At 38.2% G+C, this 20,502-nt stretch overlaps 2 protein-coding genes and 1 pseudogene across 2 annotated transcripts in view, besides 1 other annotated feature; 2 read left to right on the top strand and 1 right to left on the bottom strand.

Moving 5' to 3' along the window:
• The window catches only part of RPSA2 (ribosomal protein SA 2), a 112,693-nt gene extending 111,939 nt beyond the window's left edge, over positions 1-754 (bottom strand). Inside the window, exon 1 of the transcript NR_170714.1 lies at positions 193-754. The gene's annotated coding sequence lies outside the window, so the exon portion shown is untranslated. The remainder of the gene's footprint in view (positions 1-192) is intronic.
• Positions 161-679: an enhancer, noted in NCBI's record as "H3K27ac hESC enhancer chr19:23941373-23941891 (GRCh37/hg19 assembly coordinates)". NCBI's record gives its function as "activates a minimal SCP1, AML or CMV promoter by ChIP-STARR-seq in primed H9 embryonic stem cells {active_cell/tissue: H9 hESC(primed)}" and the evidence as "EXISTENCE:reporter gene assay evidence [ECO:0000049][PMID:30033119]".
• On the top strand, positions 359-20,055 carry ZNF681 (zinc finger protein 681). The gene is made up of 4 exons (NM_138286.3): positions 359-503; positions 3,699-3,825; positions 4,332-4,427; positions 13,927-20,055. The coding sequence occupies exons 1-4, from the start codon at positions 501-503 to the stop codon at positions 15,636-15,638; spliced, it is 1,938 nt and encodes a 645-aa protein (NP_612143.2). The 5' UTR covers positions 359-500; the 3' UTR covers positions 15,639-20,055.
• VN1R94P (vomeronasal 1 receptor 94 pseudogene) lies at positions 19,335-19,648 on the top strand (annotated as a pseudogene).
• Positions 20,056-20,502: the final 447 nt, after the last annotated feature.

The following is a 20,502-nucleotide window of genomic DNA, read 5'->3' as shown; positions in this document are numbered from 1 at the left end:
GAAACCAGGACGGTCATAAAAGATGAAATATTAAAATAATTGTTATTATATATATTTTTATTTTTGAATAGCTATCTAGTATATTATTTGAAATGCATGTGACCTTACACAGAAGGTTAAAGGCAAATACCCTGTTGGGTGGGCCTGGCTTAGCTCAGGGAGGGAGCCCTGTCTGAAAACGCTGCAACTTACGTTGTTAGTCTTCATTCAGCAGAGCATCTGATCACATCTTCTGTCACTCAGGACCTGAGGGGTGGGGTTTTAATCATTATCCAGTCAGGGACGCTGGGCTGGGAACTGTCCAATCAGGCATGCAGCTGGAGCAGACAGGGCGGCTTCCGGGATTGGCGGGGCCTTTGTCTCTCCCTTCAGCCCGAGCTCCGGGTCTCGTCTTCACTGCTCTGTGTCCTCTTCTTCTAGAGGCCCAGCCTCTATGGCCCTCTGACCTGCAGGTATTGGCGATCCATAGCTAAGACGCCAGGTCCCCCGGAAACCTAGAAATGGTGAGAATGTCGGGTCCGACATCCCGAGAGAGGGGAAGGGGCTGTGGCGGGACTCAGACCTCGCCGCAGTCAGCTCCACAATTTGCGCCCTGAGTTCTCCTCGCCCAGGCGGCCTCAGTCCACTTGGACCATAAGATGGCGGCTGCGCTGACAGCCAGCCCCCCGGGCGTCCTTTCTCCTCCCTGCTCAGTGACTGTGTCCTGGCCTGCAGCTCTCTCTGGGTGGCTCTGCATCCGCAGCGCCGGGTCTCTCCCAGATTGTGCAGGGACCACGGGAGGGTCGTCAGGGGCGAATCCTGACGGGTGCCGGGTTCATGAATGGGAAGAGCTTTGGTCCGTGGCGTTCCTAGTCTCTCTTTCCTTTCATTAAAAATGTATGAGAGTCAAAAGGCCTGGCGCGGTGGCTCGCGCGTGTAATTCCAGCACTTTGGGAGGCCGAGACAGCCTCCCGAGTAGGTGTAATTACAGACATTTGCCACCACGCCCGGCTAAATTGTTTTCTTTTCATATGGCCATTAGAAAAATAGATGAAGCAGTCATGGTCCCTACAATCCAGGAGCTTTTAGTCTAGCAACTGGATAAATGGTTAAATTAAGCATCATATAATTGGTACAATAAATAGATGTGTGCAGAAAATTTGGGCTCTATTTGTGCCACTTTATATAATTGTGACTTGCGATGTCATCACCTGAAGGGATATTTATAGACAGAAGAATTATTTCTATTTCCATTTCTTTTACCTTGTTAATACATATTTATCTTTTAATAAAATTACCCTAGAAAACCTTTATAAATGTGTTCAAATTGCTTATTAGTATATGTCATATAATTGATAGGGCAGGGTCTAAGAAAGATTAAAATTATACAAACTCTGAGATTTAAGGATTTTTTTTTTAAGGTAAGTTTAGGAAAAACAGAACTGGAAATACCCCAGTGGCATAGAGAACAGAATTCTATATAGAGTCCACTCCCTGCCCCAGTTCTGCTCAGGTTCACCTTTTTGGAGGCCTTATTTAGGTCTGGCCCTACCCTTAAGTCTTGCCTCATAGAACTGATTTTTGGAGATCGGAGTTTTGGCTGGTGAATTCTGCTGCTAGGGCTGGTGCTTACAATTCCTGAAACACAAAAGCAGATAAATTAAAAAAATAAAGTATATATTTTATGGTTATAATTTTTTATTAAAACTAGTGCTTGCATTCTATCTAGCAACTTGTTTTCTATTCTTACAGATCTAGTAGTTGCTCTACAAGTCACAAACAAGTAAACAGACACAATATAAATTTCTCTAAAATACATTAAATTCTTTCCGCATTCCTCTCTGTCTATATTTAGCTTTTATTGTGTATACTTTTTAAAAAAAATCAATGACAGAGAAACAGAAGAAATAAAAATGCCGGGCTTTTCATCTAAATCCTGGGAATTATTAAACAGTACCAGCTCCCAGGGTGTTATAAAAATTAAATTACATAATGTGTTATCCCAGGCACAGTGCCCTGTAACATAATTTTTTTTCTTTTTCTTTTTGTTGTATCTCAGCACTTTTAGCTTGTATAACTTTTATAAGCCAGGTGAGGTGGCTCACACCTGTAATCCCAGCATTTTGGGAGGCTCAGGTAAGTGGATCACGAGGTGAGGAGTTTGAGACCAGCCTGGCAAAGAGACCAGCCTGGCCAACATGGTGAAAGCCCATCTCTACTAAAAATACAAACATTAGCCAGGCATGGTGGCGGACATCTGTAATCCCAGCTACTCTGGAGGCTGAGGTCGGAGAATTGCGTGAACCCACGAGACAGAGGTTGCAGTGACCCGAGATCACGCCATGGCACTCCAGCTTGGGTGACAGAGCGAGACTCCAACTCAAAAAAAAAATAAATTTTTGTATAATTTTTATTATCATTTATTTCTAAGTATAGTCTTTTATAATATATTTTTTTTCTATTTTACTTTAAGTTTCGGGATACAAGTGCAGAACGTGTAGGTTTGTGACATATGTGTACATGTGTCATGGTGGTTTGCTGCACCTATCAACCCATCACCTAGGTTTTAAACCTGGCATGCATTAGCTATTTATCCTAATGCTCTTTCTCTCCTTGTCCCTCCACCCCCCGACTGGCCCTGGTGTGTATGGTTTGTCTCCTTGTGTTTATGTGTGCTCATTGTTCAACTCTTACTAATGAGTGACAACATGCAGTGTTTGGTTTTCTCTTCCTGTGTTAGTTTTCTGAGGATAATAGCTTTCAGCTGCATCCATGGTCCCTGCAAAATACATGATCTCATTCTTTTTTATGGCTGCATAGTATTCCATGGTTGTGTATGTACCACATTTTCTTTATCCATTCTATCATTGATGGGTATTTAGGTTGGTTCCATATCTTTGCTATTGTAAATAGTGATTCAATAACATATGTGTCTTTTTTTGGGGGGGGACAGAGTGTCGCTCTGTCGCCCAGGCTGGAGTGCAGTGGCATCATCTCAGCTCACTGCAAGCTCCGCCTCCTGGGTTCACGCCATTCTCCTGCCTCAGCCTCCCGAGTAGTTGGGACTACAGGTGCCCACCACTATGCCCGGCTAATTTTTTGTATTTTTAGTAGAGACGGGGTTTCACCAGGTTAGCCAGGATGGTCTCGATCTCCTGACCTCATGATCCACCCGCCTCAGCCTCCCAAAGTGCTGGGATTACAGGTTGAGCCACTGCGCCCAGCCACATATGTGTCTTTATAGTAGAATTATTTATATTCTTGTGAGTATATACTCAGAAATGGTATCACTGGGTCAAATGGTATTTCTGTTCCTAGATCCTTGAGGAATCACCACACTGTCTTCCACAATGGTTGAACTAATTTACATTCCCACCAACAGTGTAAAAGCATTCATATTTCTCCTCAGCCTCACCAGCATGTATTGTTTCTTGAATTTTTGATAATCGCCATTCTGACTGGCGATTTATTTAGGTCTGGTGTTATAGATCTAATGCCGCTTTCTTTTCTCATGGTTGGAGAACAAATTAGAGAATGTTCCTGTGTAAAAAAAAATTATTTTATTGGATAATTTCAGTCATTTCTGTAAGTCAGAACCAGTTCTCTTCACTTTCTTATTTTACCTTGAATCAAATTATAAATTCTTTCCATGGCCACTTTCTAAATGTGTATGTGTGTGTGTGTGTGTGTGTGTGTGTGTGTGTGTGTGTGTTTTTCAGGAACCATTGAAATTTAGGGATGTGGCCATAGAATTCTCTCTGGAGGAGTGGCAATGCCTGGACACTATACAGCAGAATTTATATAGGAATGTGATGTTAGAGAACTACAGAAACCTGGTCTTCTTGGGTGAGGATAACTTCAATATACAATTCCTATTATACCCTAAAGGTTTCATTTTTCTTTTTTGTATAATGTTTTTAGGTAATTTATGCTTTGCATAAGTGAGTTTCAGATCCCTGTTTTTATAAAAATCTTAGGGATTCATCTCTGTAGAAAAGAATTTCTTCAAGATATTTCATCTTGACCTGAACTTTCTGCATTCCTGAGCTAATCTGTATTCTTCACTCTAGATTAGAGTGGTAATTCCAGAAGTTTAGTGGCATAAAATATTATTGCTCACACTTTAAAATCTAATTGCCAACACCAGTTTTTGATTTGTTGTACTGGACAGTGAAATTAAGAACTAACAAATTTAAAATATTTTCTAAATATTTAGAAATTTCTTTTATAAATCAGTATTTTGGGATTGATTTACAAGAATATTCTATTTCACCCTCTTTACTGACTACATTGCCATGTTGGTGATTAGACAATATAAGCAAGATTTATGTTATTTACTTTCAATAAAACAGGTATTGTTGTCTCTAAGCCAGACCTGATCACCTGTCTGGAACAAGAAAAAGAGCCTTGGACTAGAAAGAGACATAGGATGGTGGCCGAACCCCCAGGTAGGTGAGAGTGAAAGTGAATACAACAGATAACATAGATGAGCGGTTCAAAGGTCAAAGAAAAAGCTAGTGCTTATAATGTGATTTGGGAAGCTGTATTCCAAAGGAAATAGTTTCTGGAAAGCCAGAGTTTTTCTTTTCTTTTCTTTTTCTTTTGAGAGATGGAGTCTCGCTCTGTCACCCAAGCTGGAGTGCAGTGGAACAGTCTGGGCTCACTGCAACCTCCATCTCCAGGTTCAAGCGATTCTCCTGTCTCACCTTCCCAAGTAACTGGGACTACAGGTGTGTGCCACCACGCCCAGCTAATTTTTGTATTTTTTTAGTAGAGACGGTTTCACTATGTGTTGGCCAGGCTGGTCTCGAACTCCTAACCTCAGGTGATCTGCCCGCCTTGGCCTCTGAAAGTGCTGCGATTACAGGCATGAGCCACGCCACCCTGCCGAGTTTTTCTATTTTGCTCTCACATAAGGGAGTCTTCTGTCTTACGCTTTTAAGTTCTCTCAGGACTCTGCTTTCCCTTCAGTGATCTGCCTTCTAGTTTAGAGTGAGAGCCAAAGTCTCCTTAATGGCATGTAAGAGACTGCACAATCTGACTGCTTTTCCATTGTTTTGGGGGACACACAAATATCTGCATAATTTTGAGAAACTCTGTTAAGTTCTTTTTTTGCATCATCTCTGAAATGTGTGAGAGTAGTAGGTTTTTGTTCATTTTTCTGCATATTCCGTCCTGTTTGTATTACTATAGTCTTCAAATATAGTTTGAAATTATAAAGTATGATGTCGTTCAGCTTTGTTTTTTTTTTCTCAAGATTGCTTTCACTATTCAAAGTTTATTGTAGTTTCATATATAAATTTTAGACTTGTATTTTTCATTACTGTAAAACGCCACTGGAATTTTGATAGGGAGTTTATTGAATCTATAGATCATTTTGAATAACATGGCACTTTTTTTTTTTTTTTTTGAGACAAAGTCTCGCTCTTTCTCCAGGCTGAAGTGCAGTGGCACAATCTCGGCTCACTGCAACCTCTCCCTTCCAGGTTCAAGCTATTATCCTGCCTCAGTCCCTCCGAGTAGCTGGAACTACAGGTGCTCACCACCAGGCCCAGCTAATTTTTGTATTTTTAGTAGAGACAGAGTTTCACCATGTTGGCCAGGATGGTCTCCATCTCTTGACCTCATGATCTGCCTGCCTCAGCCTCCCAAAGTGCTGGGATTACAGGTGTGAGCCACCGTGCCTGGCCAACATGGCACTTTAACAGTATTTATTCTTTCAATCTATAGACATGAAATATTTTTAAATTTATTTGTGTCTTTTCTAATTTCTCTCATTGATATATCTTTCATTGTAAAGATTTTCTACCTCTTTGATTAAATTTCTTCTCAGAAATTTATTTTAATGCTATTGTAAATAAGATTTTTTTTTGAGACAGAGTCTTGCTCTGTTGCCCAGGCTGGAGTGCACTGGTGCGATCTCAGCTCACTGCAACCTCTGCCTCCCGGGTTCAAGCAATTATCCTGCCTCAGCCTCCCAAGTAGCTGGGACTATAGGCACATGCCACCATGCCTGGCTAATTTTTGTATTTTTAGTATAGATGGGGTTTCAGTATGTTGGCCAGGCTGGTCTTGAACTTTTGACCTCAGATGATCCACCTGCCTCAGCCTCCCAAAGTGCTGGGATTACAGGCATGAGCCACCATGCCTGGCTGTAAATAAGATTTTTTAAATATTTTATCCGATAGCTTAAGTGTATGGAACCATAACTTGTACGTTAATTTAATATTTTGCTAATTTACTGAGTGTATTTATTAGTTTAGACAGGATTTAATGTACTCTATATATATACACATATACTATCATATGATCTGCAACCAGCAACTTTTTACTTACTTGTCTTCAATTTCAATGGCTCTTTTTCATTTTTTTGACTAATTCTTTTGCCACGTACTAACAGTTCTTTGTTAAAAGAGAAGCATTGACGATAGGCAAAATATAGTTTTGTATTAGTGTCTTTAAACTTGAAAAAGCAAAAGCCTCTTCAAGTTTTTATAACCTGTTTTCAGAAGGTAAAGGTCTTTTGTTGGGCCCCCAGGGTAATGAGATGCCCTCTGGGTTTGTAGTGGAGAGGGCATGTAGCTTGGTCATAAGGCTGCTGGGTCTGCACTAGGGTCCACCTTTAGTTGGCTTGTTACAAGGGGCTTGGGTAGTTGTAATTAACACTTTATTTTTTAGACAGACTGAATTTCTCTCAAGACTTTGACCTGTAGGGCAGTCACTAGGGCAGGTTTCTGCAGTCAGGTCTGTGTATATGGTTGAGTCTTATTTAAGAATGTGGATGAGTATGGCATTCACTGTGTATCAGAGAGGATTTTTCCAGGTCACTCAGTGGGCTTTAACATAGGCAGAACTGGCTGTGAACTGTGGCTTGGATGTGAAACTGAGTCATTGAACTGCTTTAAGGACCACAGTAAAGGCCAAGGTCTGCAGGCCTGCTGCATGGCTATAAGTGGGTGTCTTTCTCAAGGCCTCTGAAAGGGTATGTGACCTCTTACAGACTGTGGCTGGGAAAAGTCTGAGATGATTACAGAGTAACTTCAGAATGATCAGTAAGACCAAGTTGGGTAGTCCATTTCCTGGTCTATACTGAAAAATAGGAGTTCTGTAGTTTGCCACCTGCCTTCTGAAAAATAGCACTCCTCAGAATTGGGCATTAGCAGTTTCACAACTCCCTCCCTGGATCTCAAAGCTCTCCTAAAGGCACTTAATTTGGAGATTGGGTCTTGCTACATAACCCAGGCTGGTTTTGAAATCCTGGCCTGAAGCAATTTTCCAACCTCAGGCCGGGCGCAGTGGCTCACGCCTGTAATCCCAGCACTCTGGGAGGCCAAGGTGGGCGGATCACGAGGTCAGGAGATCGAGACCATCCTGGCTAATATGGTGGAACCCCGTCTCTACTAAAAATACAAAAAAAATTAGCCAGGCATGGTGGCAGGCGCCTGTAGTCCCAGCTATTCAGGAGACTGAGGCAAGAGAATGGTATAAACCCGGGAGGCAGAGGTTGCAGTGAGCCGAGATTGTGCCACTGCACTCCAGCCTGGGTGACAGAGCAAGACTCCATCTCAAAAAAATAAATAAATAAATAAAATTGTCTCTAGTTTCTTTTAAATGCTTATTGATTAAAAGTTTCTCATTAGAATCTTCTGTTTATGATTACACTCCATTTCCTTTGAAATTTTACTGCCATGGAGCACATGCCAGTTATTCAAAATACTTGCCTTCTGTGAACACAGTCACATATTACGGTTATCTAGAGAATAGAATTTTTTTTGTTTTCTTTTTTTTTTTTTTTTGAGACGGAGTCTCACTCTGTCGCCAGACTAAAGTACAATGGCGCAATCTCGGCTCACTGCAACCTCCGCCTCCAGAGTTCAAGCAATTCTGCTGCCTCAGCCTCCCGAGTAGCTGGGATTACAGCCATGTGCCAAAACGCCCAGCTAATTTTGTATTTTTAGTAGAGACGGGGTTTCACCATGTTGGTCAGGCTGGCCTTGAACTCCCAACTTCAGGTGATCCGCCTGCCTCAGCCACCCAAAGTGCTGGGATTACATGTGTGAGCTACCGCACCCAGCCTATTTAGATAAATTCTTAATGGTACATCGTTTTGCAAACCAGATCTTTTTTTTTTTTTTTTTTTTGAGATGGAGTTTTGCTCTTATTGCACAGGCTGGAGTGCAATGGCGCAGTCTTGGCTCACTGCAACCTCCACCTCCCAGGTTCAAGCAATTCTCCTGCCTCAGCCTCCCGAGTAGCAGAGATTACAGGCATGTGCCACCATGCCTGGTTAATTTTGTACTTCTTTTATTAGTAGAGATAGGGTTTCTCCATTTTGGTCAGGCTGGTCTCGAACCTTCAACCTCAGATGATCCACCTACCTCAGCCTCCCAAAGTGCTGGGATTACAGGTGTGAGCCACTGCGCCTGGGTGTTTTTTTTTTTTTTTAGAGATGCGGTCTCACTTTGCTGCCCAGGCTGAAGTGCAGTGGAGTGATTTCAGCTCCCATGTTCAAGGGAACCTACCACTTCAGCCTCCCGAGTAGCTGGGACTACAGGCACATGCCACCAGGCCTGGCTAATTTTAGTACTTTTAGTAGAGATGGGGTTTCCCCATGTTGGCCAGGCTGGTCTCGTACTTCTGACCTCAGGTGATTTGTCCACCTCAGTCTCCCTAAGTGCTGGGATTACAGGTGTGAGCCACCGTGCCTGGCCTACTAGTGTGTTTTTTTTAGTGTAGGTTTCTTAATATTAGTTTCTTGTGCTTTTTAGTTTTACATATGTATTATAATTTTAGACAATTTGCAATTCTGTTTGTACACTTTAAGTCAATGTGGGGTTTACTTAAGAGGTACATCAGCCATATGTCTATCACAATGAGAGTATATATGTTTGTGTGTTTATCTGTAAATATAACCACAGCTTTGGTTATGACTTATCTTGTATATATTCTTTCTTAGTTGTTTTTTGGTTTTTTTTTTTTTTTTTTTTGAGTTGGAGTCTCACTCTGTCGCCCAGGCTGGAGTGCAATGGCGCAATCTTGGCTAACTGCAACCTCTGCCTCCCGGGTTCAAGCAGTTCTCCAGCCTCAGCCACCGAGTAGCTGGGATTACAGGCTCATGTCACCACACCCAGATATTTTTTGTATTTTTAGTAGAGATGGGGTTTCACAATGTTGACCAGGCTGGTCTAGAACTTCCGACCTCAGGTGATCCGCTCACCTCGGCCTCCCAAAGTGCTGAGATTACAGGCGTGAGCCACGGTGCCCGGCCCTTTTTTTTTTTTCTTAGTTGATTTTCAGTGATTGTTTTATCTTGTCTAATTGAGTAGTCATGGAAATAGTTTTATTTTCACCATGTGTTTAATGATGAATATGTATTTGCTCTGTGTGAGACAAACACTTTTGTGATTTGAAGGTAATTTATGAAAAGATTTATGATTCTGAATTTTTTCAGATTTTTTTTGAGAAAAATTAATTGTAAAAACACATAACATAAAATGTATTGTCTTAAATCTATTGAAGTGTACATTCCAGGTTGTGGCTTACATGTGTAATCCCAGAATTTGAGGATCTTAAGGCAGGAGGATTGCTTGATCCCAAAAGTTTGAGACCAGCCTGGGCAACATATGGAGATTCCCACTCTACAAATTTTTTTTTTTTTTTTTTAACCCAGGCATGGTTGTGTGCACCTGTGGTCCCAGCTCTTTGAAAGATTGAGGGAGGAGGATTACTTGAGTCTGGGAATTTGAGGCTACACTTAGCCATAATTGTGCCACTGCACTCCACCTTACGTGATAGAATGAGACCCTGTCTCAGAAAAAAGCTGTACTTTTCAGACATGTTAAGTGTATTCACATTGTTATACAAAAGACTTTTAAAAATTTTACATCTAATAAAACTAAAACTCAATATCCATTAAGTAACAGCTGAACATTTTACCCTCTCTCCAGCCCTTGACAAATATCCTTCTACTTTCTGTTTTTATGAGCGTGACTACTTAAGATATCTCCTATAAATGGGATCATATAGTAGCCATCATTTTGTTAATGGCTTATTTCAGGTGACATAATAATTCTCGAAGTTTGTCTTAAAGTGTGACAAGATTTTTTTTAAGGCTGAATAATATTCCATTGTATTTATATGTTACATTTTTTGATGTATTTGTAAGTCAAGAAAGGGTTGCTTCAGTCTTTTGGCTTTTGTGAATACTGGTACAGTAAACATCAATATTCAAATATGCCTTCTAGCTCCTGCATTGCAGAGTTTGCATATAGATTTACAAATTGAATTATTGTATTTAATGATTCCATTTTTAATTATTTGGGTAACATAACATTTTAAAACAGTGGCTGCATCCTTGTTTTACACCAACAAATAACGGATTTTCAGTTCATCATCAACAGATTTAATGTTTTAAAAAAATTGATAGTGGCCATTCTAATTGGTTTGAGTTTTTTTCACGTGATTTTTATGCATTTCTCTACAAATGTAATTTCCTGTGTCTTTTCAAATGCTTTTTCCAATTTTTGTATTTTTTTGATTAAAATTTATTTCAATTATTAGTCCATTTAAGACTTGTTTATGTATTCTCAATATTAACTGCCATGGACCTTGCTGGACTGAACAAAGGAGGATGAACGTGGGAATAAAGACAAAGACAAAAGAGTGTATTTGGAAGAAGGGGTCAGGGGGCTCCTTGCTTCTAGTGAATAAGGGCCGTGAACTTCTATACCCCTTTGTATTTATTGAGTAAAGGAGATAGGGAGAAGGGGGTGGTTGTCTGTCAGCTGCTTTACTTAGTGCAGGCTTGCACAACTGCATTCTTTGAACAGTAGTCTCCAGATGTTCCAGTAGATAACCTCAAGGAGCATGGCACCAGGGAGTGACTGCCCTCAGCAAACCTTCTGGTGGCAGGCACAGATGTGAGTTTGCCCACATCCTGCATTCATGATAAACAGTTTGCTGTTTGATCATATAGCCTTCAGTGGAATGCTGAGTTGGTCATGACCCTCGGGCCTTTAGCTCCCTGCAATTAACTCTTATCACATATAATTTGCAAATATTTTTACTTATTTTCTACAAGGCATTGTCACTCTAATGTTTTTTTGATGTGTGGAAATTTTGTAGTGTAGTTACTTTTTTCTTTGATGCTCATGCATTTAATATCATATCAAAAAAAATGGTGCCAAGAACAACGTCATGTCATTTCTCTTTTTTTCTAAGAGATTTATTAGTTATTTTTATATGTTTAAGTATTTTATTTAAAATATTTTTTGTATATGATTCAAAGAATCCAGCTTTATCAGTGTTGGTGTCCAGTTTTCAACATGATTTTTTGAAGAGATTGTCTTTTCTCTATTGTGTGCTCATGGCAAAGTTGTAAAAGATTATTTAATCATATACTGAGGAGTTTATTTCTGGGCTCTCTATTCTGTTTTTTAATCTGTTTATCTGTCTTTGTGTCAGTACCACCTTGTTTTTGTAGCTATTAATATTTTTTAAAATCCAGAAGTATAACACCTCTTTGTTCTTTTTCATGAATGTTTGGCTATAGTTTATAATCAAATTTTAAAATTTTAAACAATATTCTTGTAAAACTTGTGCTTTGGGGATTTTTTTTTTTTTTTTTTTTTTGAGACGGAGTCTTGCTCTCTCGCCCAGGCTGGACTGCAGTGGCACGATCTCGGCTCAGTGCAAGCTCCGCCTCCCAGGTTCATGCCATTCTCCTGCCTCAGCCTCCCGAGTAGCTGGGACTACAGGTGCCCGCCACCACGCCCGGCTAATTTTTTTGTATTTTTAGTAGAGACGGGGTTTCCCTGTGTTAGCCAGGATGGTCTTGATCTCCTGACCTCGTGATACGCCCGCCTCGGCCTCCCAAAGTGCTGGGATTACAGGCTTGAGCCACCGCGCCCGGCCACTTTGGGGATTTTTATAGAAATTATATTGAATATATTCATCACTGTAAGTTATACAGACATCTTTGAAAAATTAAATTTTTTGACCCTTGAGTAAAACTATGTTGAAGAGTATGTGTTATTTTCATGTATATTTGGATGTGCCAGTTTTACTTGTGTTCTCAATTTCCAGTTTCATTCAGTCTTAGTCAGAAAACATTTAGTGTACAATTTTTATTTTCTTACATTTATTTGTTGTTGTTGTTGTTTTGAGACAGGATCTCTTTCTGTTACCCAGGCTGGAGTGCAGTGACTGCAGCTTCAACCTTCAGGGCTCAAGTGCTCCTTTCACCTCAGCCTCCTGACTAGCTGGAACTACAGAGATGCACTACCATGCCTGGCTAATTTTTTGATTATTTGTAGGGATGGAGTCTTACTGTGTTGCCTAGGCTGGTCTCAAACTTCTGGCCCCAAGAGATCCTCCCATCTTGGTCTCCCAAAGTGTTGAAATTATAGGCATGAGCCACAGCACCCACCTGGTATTCCTAAATTTAATAAGACTTGTTGTGTATCCTAACAGAATACACCAGGTGCAAATAAGAATATTGTGTGTTTTCTTGCTTTTAACTGGAAAGTAGTTTACATGTCTGTTAAGCCTAGTTTATCTATGGTACAACCTGAATGTTCACGTTCCCCAAACATCATGCTGCAACGCAGTCCTCAATGTTGGATGCAGAACCTGGTGGGAGGTGTTCTAGTCATGGGGGCAAATTTCTCATGAATAGCTTGGCATCACCCTCTTGGTAATCAAAAACTTTACCCTCTGTTAATTTAAATGAGAGCTGGCTCATTAAAATTACCTGGCTTCTTTATTTCACACTTGCTCTGTCCCTTACCATGTGATATGTTCACATAGTACTCACATAATTACTCTTTGTGTTTCACCATGATTGTAAGCTTTGTGAGACCCTCACCAGAAGTCGATGCTGGCATGCACTTCTTGTACAGTCTGCCAAACTGTGTACCAAATAAACTTTCTCCTTTTTCTTTTTTTTTTTTTGTTTTTGAGACATAGTCTCACTCTGTCACCTAGGCTGGACTGCAGTGGCACAATCTTGGCTCACTGCAACCTCCGTCTCCCAGATTCAAGTGATTCTCCTGCCTCAGCCTCCCGAGTAGCTGGGATTACAGGCATGCACCACCATGCCTGGCTAATTTTGTATTTTAAGTAGAGACAGGGTTTCACCATGTTGGCCAGGCTGGTCTCAAACTCCTGACCTCAGTTGATTTGCCTGCCTTGGCCTCCCAAAGTGCTGTGATTACAGGCATGAGCCACCGCACCCTGCCAACCTTTTTTCTTTATAAATTATCCACTCTCAGGTGTGCTGCTGTATGCAAAACAATTGAAGTTGGCAATTTACTTTTAAAGGCATTATGTTATATTGGGGAGCAGAAAGATCTATGTTGGGTAAATGTAACAGGCTTTTATTTTCTTTCTATGTGGCTCTTTGCATTCTGCTCACCTGGGTCATTGCACACACTTAACTAATTTATAAATTTTCCACAAATGTATTTTGGTCAATATGTTTTTGTTACATTTATATTTCTATTAAGAAATTAGGGCCTTTGGGCCGAGCACGGTGGCTCATGCCTGTAATCCCAGCATTTTGGGAGGCTGAGGTGGGCAGATCACGAGGTCAGGAATTTGAGACCAGCCTGGCCAATATGGTGAAACCCCGTTTCTACTAAAAATACAAATATTAGCTGGGCATGGTGGCACATGCCTGTAATCCTAGCTACTCAGGAGCCTGAGGCAGGAGAGTTGCTTGAACCTGGGAGGTAGCAGTTGCAGTGAGCTGAGATCACACTACCGCAGTCCAGCCCAAGTGACAGATTGAAACTCCGTCTCAGGAAAAAAAAAAAAAAAAAATTAGGGCCTTTGGTATTTTGCTATACCATCTTGCTTATGTAATTTGTATAATTGTATAGGTTGGATTTGTAAAGTATATTTAGAGTCTTATCAAGTGGAGTCATTTGTTATTTTTATTTCTTTCAGTTATTTGTTCTCATTTTGCCCAAGACTTTTCACCAGAGCAGAACATAAAAGATTCTTTCCAAAAAGTGACACCAAGAAGATATGGAAAATGTGAACATGAGAATTTACAGTTAAGTAAAAGTGTGGATGAGTGCAAAGTGCAAAAAGGAGGTTATAATGGACTTAACCAATGTTTGCCAACTACCCAGAGCAAAATATTTCAATGTGATAAATATATGAAAATCTTTCATAAATTTTCAAATTTAAATGGACATAAGGTAAGACACACCAGAAAAAAACCTTTTAAATATAAAGAATTTGGCAAATCATTTTGCATATTTTCAAACCTAACTCAACATAAAATAATTTGTACTAGAGTAAATTTCTACAAATGTGAAGACTGTGGAAAAGCCTTTAATGGATCCTCAATCTTTACTAAACATAAAAGAATTCATATTGGAGAGAAATCGTACATATGTGAAGAATGTGGCAAAGCCTGTAACCAGTTCACAAACCTTACTACACATAAGATAATTTATACTAGAGACAAACTCTACAAACGTGAAGAATGTAGCAAAGCCTTTAACCTGTCGTCACACATTACAACACATACAATAATTCATACTGGAGAGAATCCCTACAAACGTGAAGAATGTGACAAAGCCTTTAATCAGTCCTTAACCCTTACTACACATAAGATAATTCATACCAGAGAGAAACTCAATGAATATAAGGAATGTGGCAAAGCTTTCAACCAGTCCTCACACCTTACCAGACATAAGATAATTCATACTGGAGAGAAACCCTACAAATGTGAAGAATGTGGCAAAGCCTTTAACCAGTCCTCACACCTTACCAGACATAAGATAATTCATACTGGAGAGAAGCCCTACAGATGTGAAGAATGTGGCAAAGCCTTTAGGCAGTCCTCACACCTTACTACACATAAGATAATTCATACTGGAGAGAAACCCTACAAATGTGAAGAATGTGGCAAAGCTTTTAACAAGTCCTCACACCTTACTAGACATAAGAGCATTCATACTGGAGAAAAACCCTACCAGTGTGAAAAATGTGGCAAAGCTTCTAACCAATCCTCAAACCTTACTGAACATAAGAATATTCATACTGAAGAGAAACCATACAAATGTGAAGAATGTGGGAAAGCCTTTAACCAGTTCTCAAACCTTACTACACATAAAAGAATTCATACTGGAGAGAAACCCTACAAATGTGAAGAATGTGGCAAAGCTTTTAACCAGTCCTCAATCCTTACTACACATAAGAGAATTCATACTGGAGAGAAATCCTACAAATGTGAAGAATGTGGCAAAGCTTTCTATCGATCCTCAAAACTTACTGAACATAAGAAAATTCATACTGGAGAGAAACCCTACACATGTGAAGAATGTGGCAAAGCCTTTAACCATTCCTCACATCTTGCTACACATAAGGTAATTCATACTGGAGAGAAACCCTACCAATGTGAAGAATGTGGTAAAGCCTTTAACCAGTCCTCACACCTTACTAGACATAAGAGAATTCATACTGGAGAGAAACCCTACCAATGTGAAAAATGTGGCAAAGCTTTTAACCAGTCCTCAAACCTTACTGGACATAAGAAAATTCATACTGGTGAGAAACTCTACAAACCTAAAAGATGTAACAGTGATTTTGAAAACACTTCAAAGTTTTCTAAACATAAAAGAAATTATGCTGGTGAGAAATCTTAGAAATGTGAAGAATGTAACAAAACCTTTAAAAGTTGTCACACTTGATTGTGCATAAGATAATTCATACTAAAAAAAAACCTACAAGTGTGAAGAATGTGGCAAAACTTTTAACCAATGCTCACACCTTATTGCACAGGAAAGCATTTGTACTAGAAAAAAATTTCAAATATACAGAATGTGAAAAAGCCATTAATATCTGTTCACATCTTACTCAACATCAGAGATTTCATACTTAATAAAAGCATTATACATGCAATTACTGTCAAAAATCTTTCAGAAAATATAAGCCTCTAAAGTGAAGAGTATTCATTTTGAAGACACACATTATGAACATAAGGAGGGTTGTGGTACCTTTACTTGTATCACAGATCTCATTGTACACATTTTGTGCTAGAGGAAAACCATGGAGCAGTTGCTTAAACTTTGTGCAACATAAGGAAATTTATATTGGAGAAAAACCCTGCAAATGTAATAAATTTGGGAAAACATTTTTTCAAAAACGACAGCTTAGAAAACACTAGAGGGTTCATACTAAAATCTATTTTTGCAGATGCAGTAAATATGAAAAAATATTTAATCCAAAATTCTATGTAAATATCAGATAATTCACAGTAGAAATAGTTAAGGCACTGACACTTCAGGCATTACACTAAATCAGATTGCTGAGTATAGAAAAGAATCTAAAACTAAAGTTGGTAAATGAATTATTTGTATATAACATTATAAGAAGTAGAAAATTTTTGCAGAGTTGTAACTACATTCAAACTATCCTTTGAAAAAAATTAGGTTTTATGAAAAGTGAATAATGTCATTTAACTCAAGTTATGCTCTTCATTCCTATTGTATTCACATGTGAAAGCATGTGACTTAATTGTTGCTGCATCAAAGATGAGAGATTCTTTGTTATTAGGTGTGCATTATTTACGACCTTTTTTAGTGAAAGAGTTAAGGACATTAAAATGTAAGATGCAAGATGAAAATGTAAGTGGAGAGGCTCTTTCTGGTTAATTTATAATATTGACTGATGCATGAGGTAGGAGTTCAGATAAATATCCTGTGTTATATTGAGAAAAAAAATTTTCTGGTATATCATTTTACTAATTGTACTTTTTTTTTTTTTGAGACAGAGTTTTGCTCTTGTTGCCCAGGCTGGAGTGCAATGGTGTGATCTTGGCTCACCAAAACCTCCACCTCCCAGGTTCAAGGGATTCTCCTGCCTCAGCCTCCCGAGTAGCTGGGATTACAGGCATGTGCCACCATGCCCGGCTAATTTTGTATTTTTAATAGAGATGGGGTTTCTCTATGTTGGTCAGGCTGGTCTCAAACTCCCGACCTCGGGTGATCCACCCACCTCGGCCTCCCAAAGTGCTGGGATTACAGGCGCGAGTCACCATGCCTGGCCAATTGTACTTTTATGTAATAAAATGTAGTACATTTTAAAATTTTTAGATAATGTGTGAACTTATTAATCAGGCTTTTTAAAAAACATGTTAAGACCATCGTGCATTCAATGAAGCATTATTATGCCATTAAATTTAACTTATCCCATCTTACTCAAGGGTATAGGTAAATGATGGTAACTATACACTATTTAATAAGATAATGGACTAACATTTCTAGTAATCTGTTTTGCCAGTGGCTTTAAATTGCAAATAAGTCAGAGAATATTATTCCTGTAGGTTGAATTATTACTCATTTTTTCTTATTTAAACTTATTTTTCTTAATTTTTGTGGGTACATAGTATGTGTAAATATGGCATATATGGCATATTTTGATACAGGTATATAATATGTAATAATTACATATGGGTAAATGAAATATTCATTACCTGCAGCATTTATTGTTTGTATTTGTTTGTATTATAAACTAATTCTGCACTTTTCGGTTTTTTTTTGAGACGAGTCTCACTATGTCACCCAGGCTGTGCACGCCTGGGTGCATTGGCGTGGTCTCAGCTCACTGCAACCTCCGCCTACTGGGTTCAAGTGATTCTTCCGCCTCAGCCTCCTGAGTAGTTGGGACTACAGGCGCATGCCACCACACTCAGCTAATTTTTGTATTTTTAGTAGAAACAGTTTCACTACGTTGGCCAGGTTTGTCTTGAACTCCTGACCCCATGATTAGCCCCCTCGGCCTCCCAAAGTGCTGGGATTACAGGTGGGAGCCACCACACCCAGCCACTTTTAGTTGTTTTCAAATGTACATTAAATTGTTGTTGGCTACAGGGTCTCTTTTATGGTCATAAGAAAACAATATAAACAAAATGCATACATTTCTGAGACCTGAATTAACATTAAAAAATTGTTATATATTTTTCTTCAAACATGTTGCCTCTCTGCCTGCAAGCACATACAGACTATTAGTTTTGATTTACACAGAGTTAAATATATACATATATTACTTTAAAGATAAAGCTTGGGTTTAAAAAAATTATGGAGTAAATAAATGCCTTCTTTGCGAGTATGAGTTTCTACCTAGTTTCAGAAGAGCAATATTGAAACAAATCAAATTATTTTAATTAGATGATGACTGCAAAACTAAAAAAACTTAAAAATGCTGAAAACAAATCCATACTCTCTGCTTTGTATTGAATTGATTACTGTAAAATTGTATGGCTTATAATTCAGAATCTCCCTATGCAAATTTTTGTTTTTACTTGCCTGATTCTTAGGCTAGACCCATAATTTTCTTGTGTCTTACATTTTTTTCTCTTATTTTATATAAGATGCTATGTGAGCTGGTCAGAGATTATAAAAATAATTTTTATAAAATTAGTGCAAAAAATTTAGATTTAATTTCAAAATTAGTGTATTGTTATATTTTATGTTGTTAGAATATTTTATTTTGTTCTTTTAATTGGAGAACGCTGTATAAGCCTACTTTTTTTAGTTTTTGTTCCTTTCAGTTTTTATAATGAAAATAAGTAAATATTGATTGAGCCCATTTATTTAGGTGAGTACTAGGGGGGCTTCCTAAATCATGAGGATGTTTTTATATATAAATATAGCAAACAAACATGACAGTGCTTTCTGTGTCACAGATGCTTTATAATAAGCCATAAATATTCCTGTTGGAGTTAGTTTGTAACTTCAAGACAGAGATGGAACATATCAATTGTGAGAAATAACATTGATTTTTTATGTGGAGAGGACATTTATTTTCAGGCTGCAAAGCTCAGTTTTGCTGAATTAAAAAATTGTGCTTCTTTTATTTCCTAATTGTCTTAGTTTTGTTTGTCTTATTATGTGTATTTCAGCTGTGTATGCATCACAGCCCTCCTTTTTGCTGTGCTGTGGCTACAGTTTTCTCACTGTTCTCTTCACACCATGTCATTTCACATGGTATATTGTAGGTTTTGATGAGAAATCGGTATTTTTAATGCACTGCAAGATTGGTTTTAACTGGAGATTTTGCATATCAATATAATTTTCTGATCAGTTAAATTAAAACAAAAAGCATACAGTGTCCACAGATGAAAGGATTAAATCATTTAGCGTTGTTTTTCTCTGTTTGTTAAAGAATAATCTTATTAAATTCTTACACAAAGTGTGGCAAATATAAAATTTGCTTGAAAATATATCTTAGAAATTAAACTTTTAATTTAATTTTCTACAGTATACTTATGCCACAATGTACGTTTCCATGCAAAATCTTCTATTTGTAAGTGTGAACATTAAACATTGCAAAATAGTAAAATGACCTCTGTGATTTTGAAACCTGGAGTAATATTTCTTTTCCATATTCATATTACAATTTGAAGAAATTTTCTCAGTTTTATATGTTTTTTTAGTGGGTGAAGTTCAGTCTACAGTTTTTACATTTAGTCACCTAACTCTAGCCAACTTCTTGGTCATATTCTCTGGAAAACATTCGAAGATCATGGCAGCTTTTAGATAAAAACATTTTCTATTATTTTGCGTGCAAACTTGTTTACTGTGTTCACAGAGTGGCCAGTCATGAGACCATAAGAAACAGCTGCCCTTTTAGTGTCTTTCATACCGTCTGTAATATATAAATTGTGCATTTATTCTGTGAAGCATGACATTTTGAAGTATATACACATTGTCAAATGCTTCATTCTAGGTAATTAATGCTTTACCTAACATAGTTAACATTTTTGTGGTAAGAGCACATGACAATGTTTTAGCATTTTTCAGAAATACAAATACATTGTTATGAACTATAGGCACCATGCAGTACAAAAGCTTTTTTGAACTTATTTCTCCTATTCAACTGTAATTATGTATTTGACTGACATCTTTCTAAACCCCTCTTTTTTCCAAATATGTTGGCATCTGGTGGTCACCATTTTATTCTCCACTTCAGTTAGATTAATTTTTCTAGAATCATGTAAGTGAAATAATTTGGTTAATCTATGTAATTGAAAATAATAAATTTTTTTATTTTAAAGATGAATAGTATTCCATTGTGTATATATACCACGTTGTCTTTATGTACTCATTAGATGTTGAAGTGTTAATTCTGTATTTTGGCAATTGTGAAGAATGTTACAAATATTTCTTCATTCTGCAAATATTTCTTGCAGATTATTTCTGCAAATATTTCTTCATTCTGATTTAATTATTTTGAGATATGTATCCATTATTGAAATTGCTATATTATATGATAGTTTGATTTTAAATTTTTATTTTTTTAATTTTTTTTTTATTTTTATTTTTTTGAAACAGAGTCTTGCTCTGTTGCCCAGGCTGGAGTGCAGTGGCACGATCTCGGCTCACTGCAACCTCCGCCTCCCGGGTTCATGCCATTCTCCTGCCTCAGCCTCCTGAGCAGCTGGGACTACAGGAACCCACCACCACACTCAACTAATTTTTTGTATTTTTAGTAGAGACAAGGTTTCAC

This window comes from Homo sapiens, chromosome 19 (assembly GCF_000001405.40).
Source record: "Homo sapiens chromosome 19, GRCh38.p14 Primary Assembly".
NCBI lineage: Eukaryota > Metazoa > Chordata > Mammalia > Primates > Hominidae > Homo > Homo sapiens.
Note: the sequence above shows the minus strand (reverse complement) of the source record. Positions and strands in the feature narration are given on the sequence as shown.

Bases quoted from the DNA above. Each gene is read 5' to 3' on its own strand.
- ZNF681 (NM_138286.3), top strand. The intron at 3,826-4,331 runs GTGAGGATAACT...TCAATAAAACAG, and splicing joins CAGAAACCTGGTCTTCTTGG to GTATTGTTGTCTCTAAGCCA. The intron at 4,428-13,926 runs GTAGGTGAGAGT...TATTTCTTTCAG, and splicing joins GATGGTGGCCGAACCCCCAG to TTATTTGTTCTCATTTTGCC.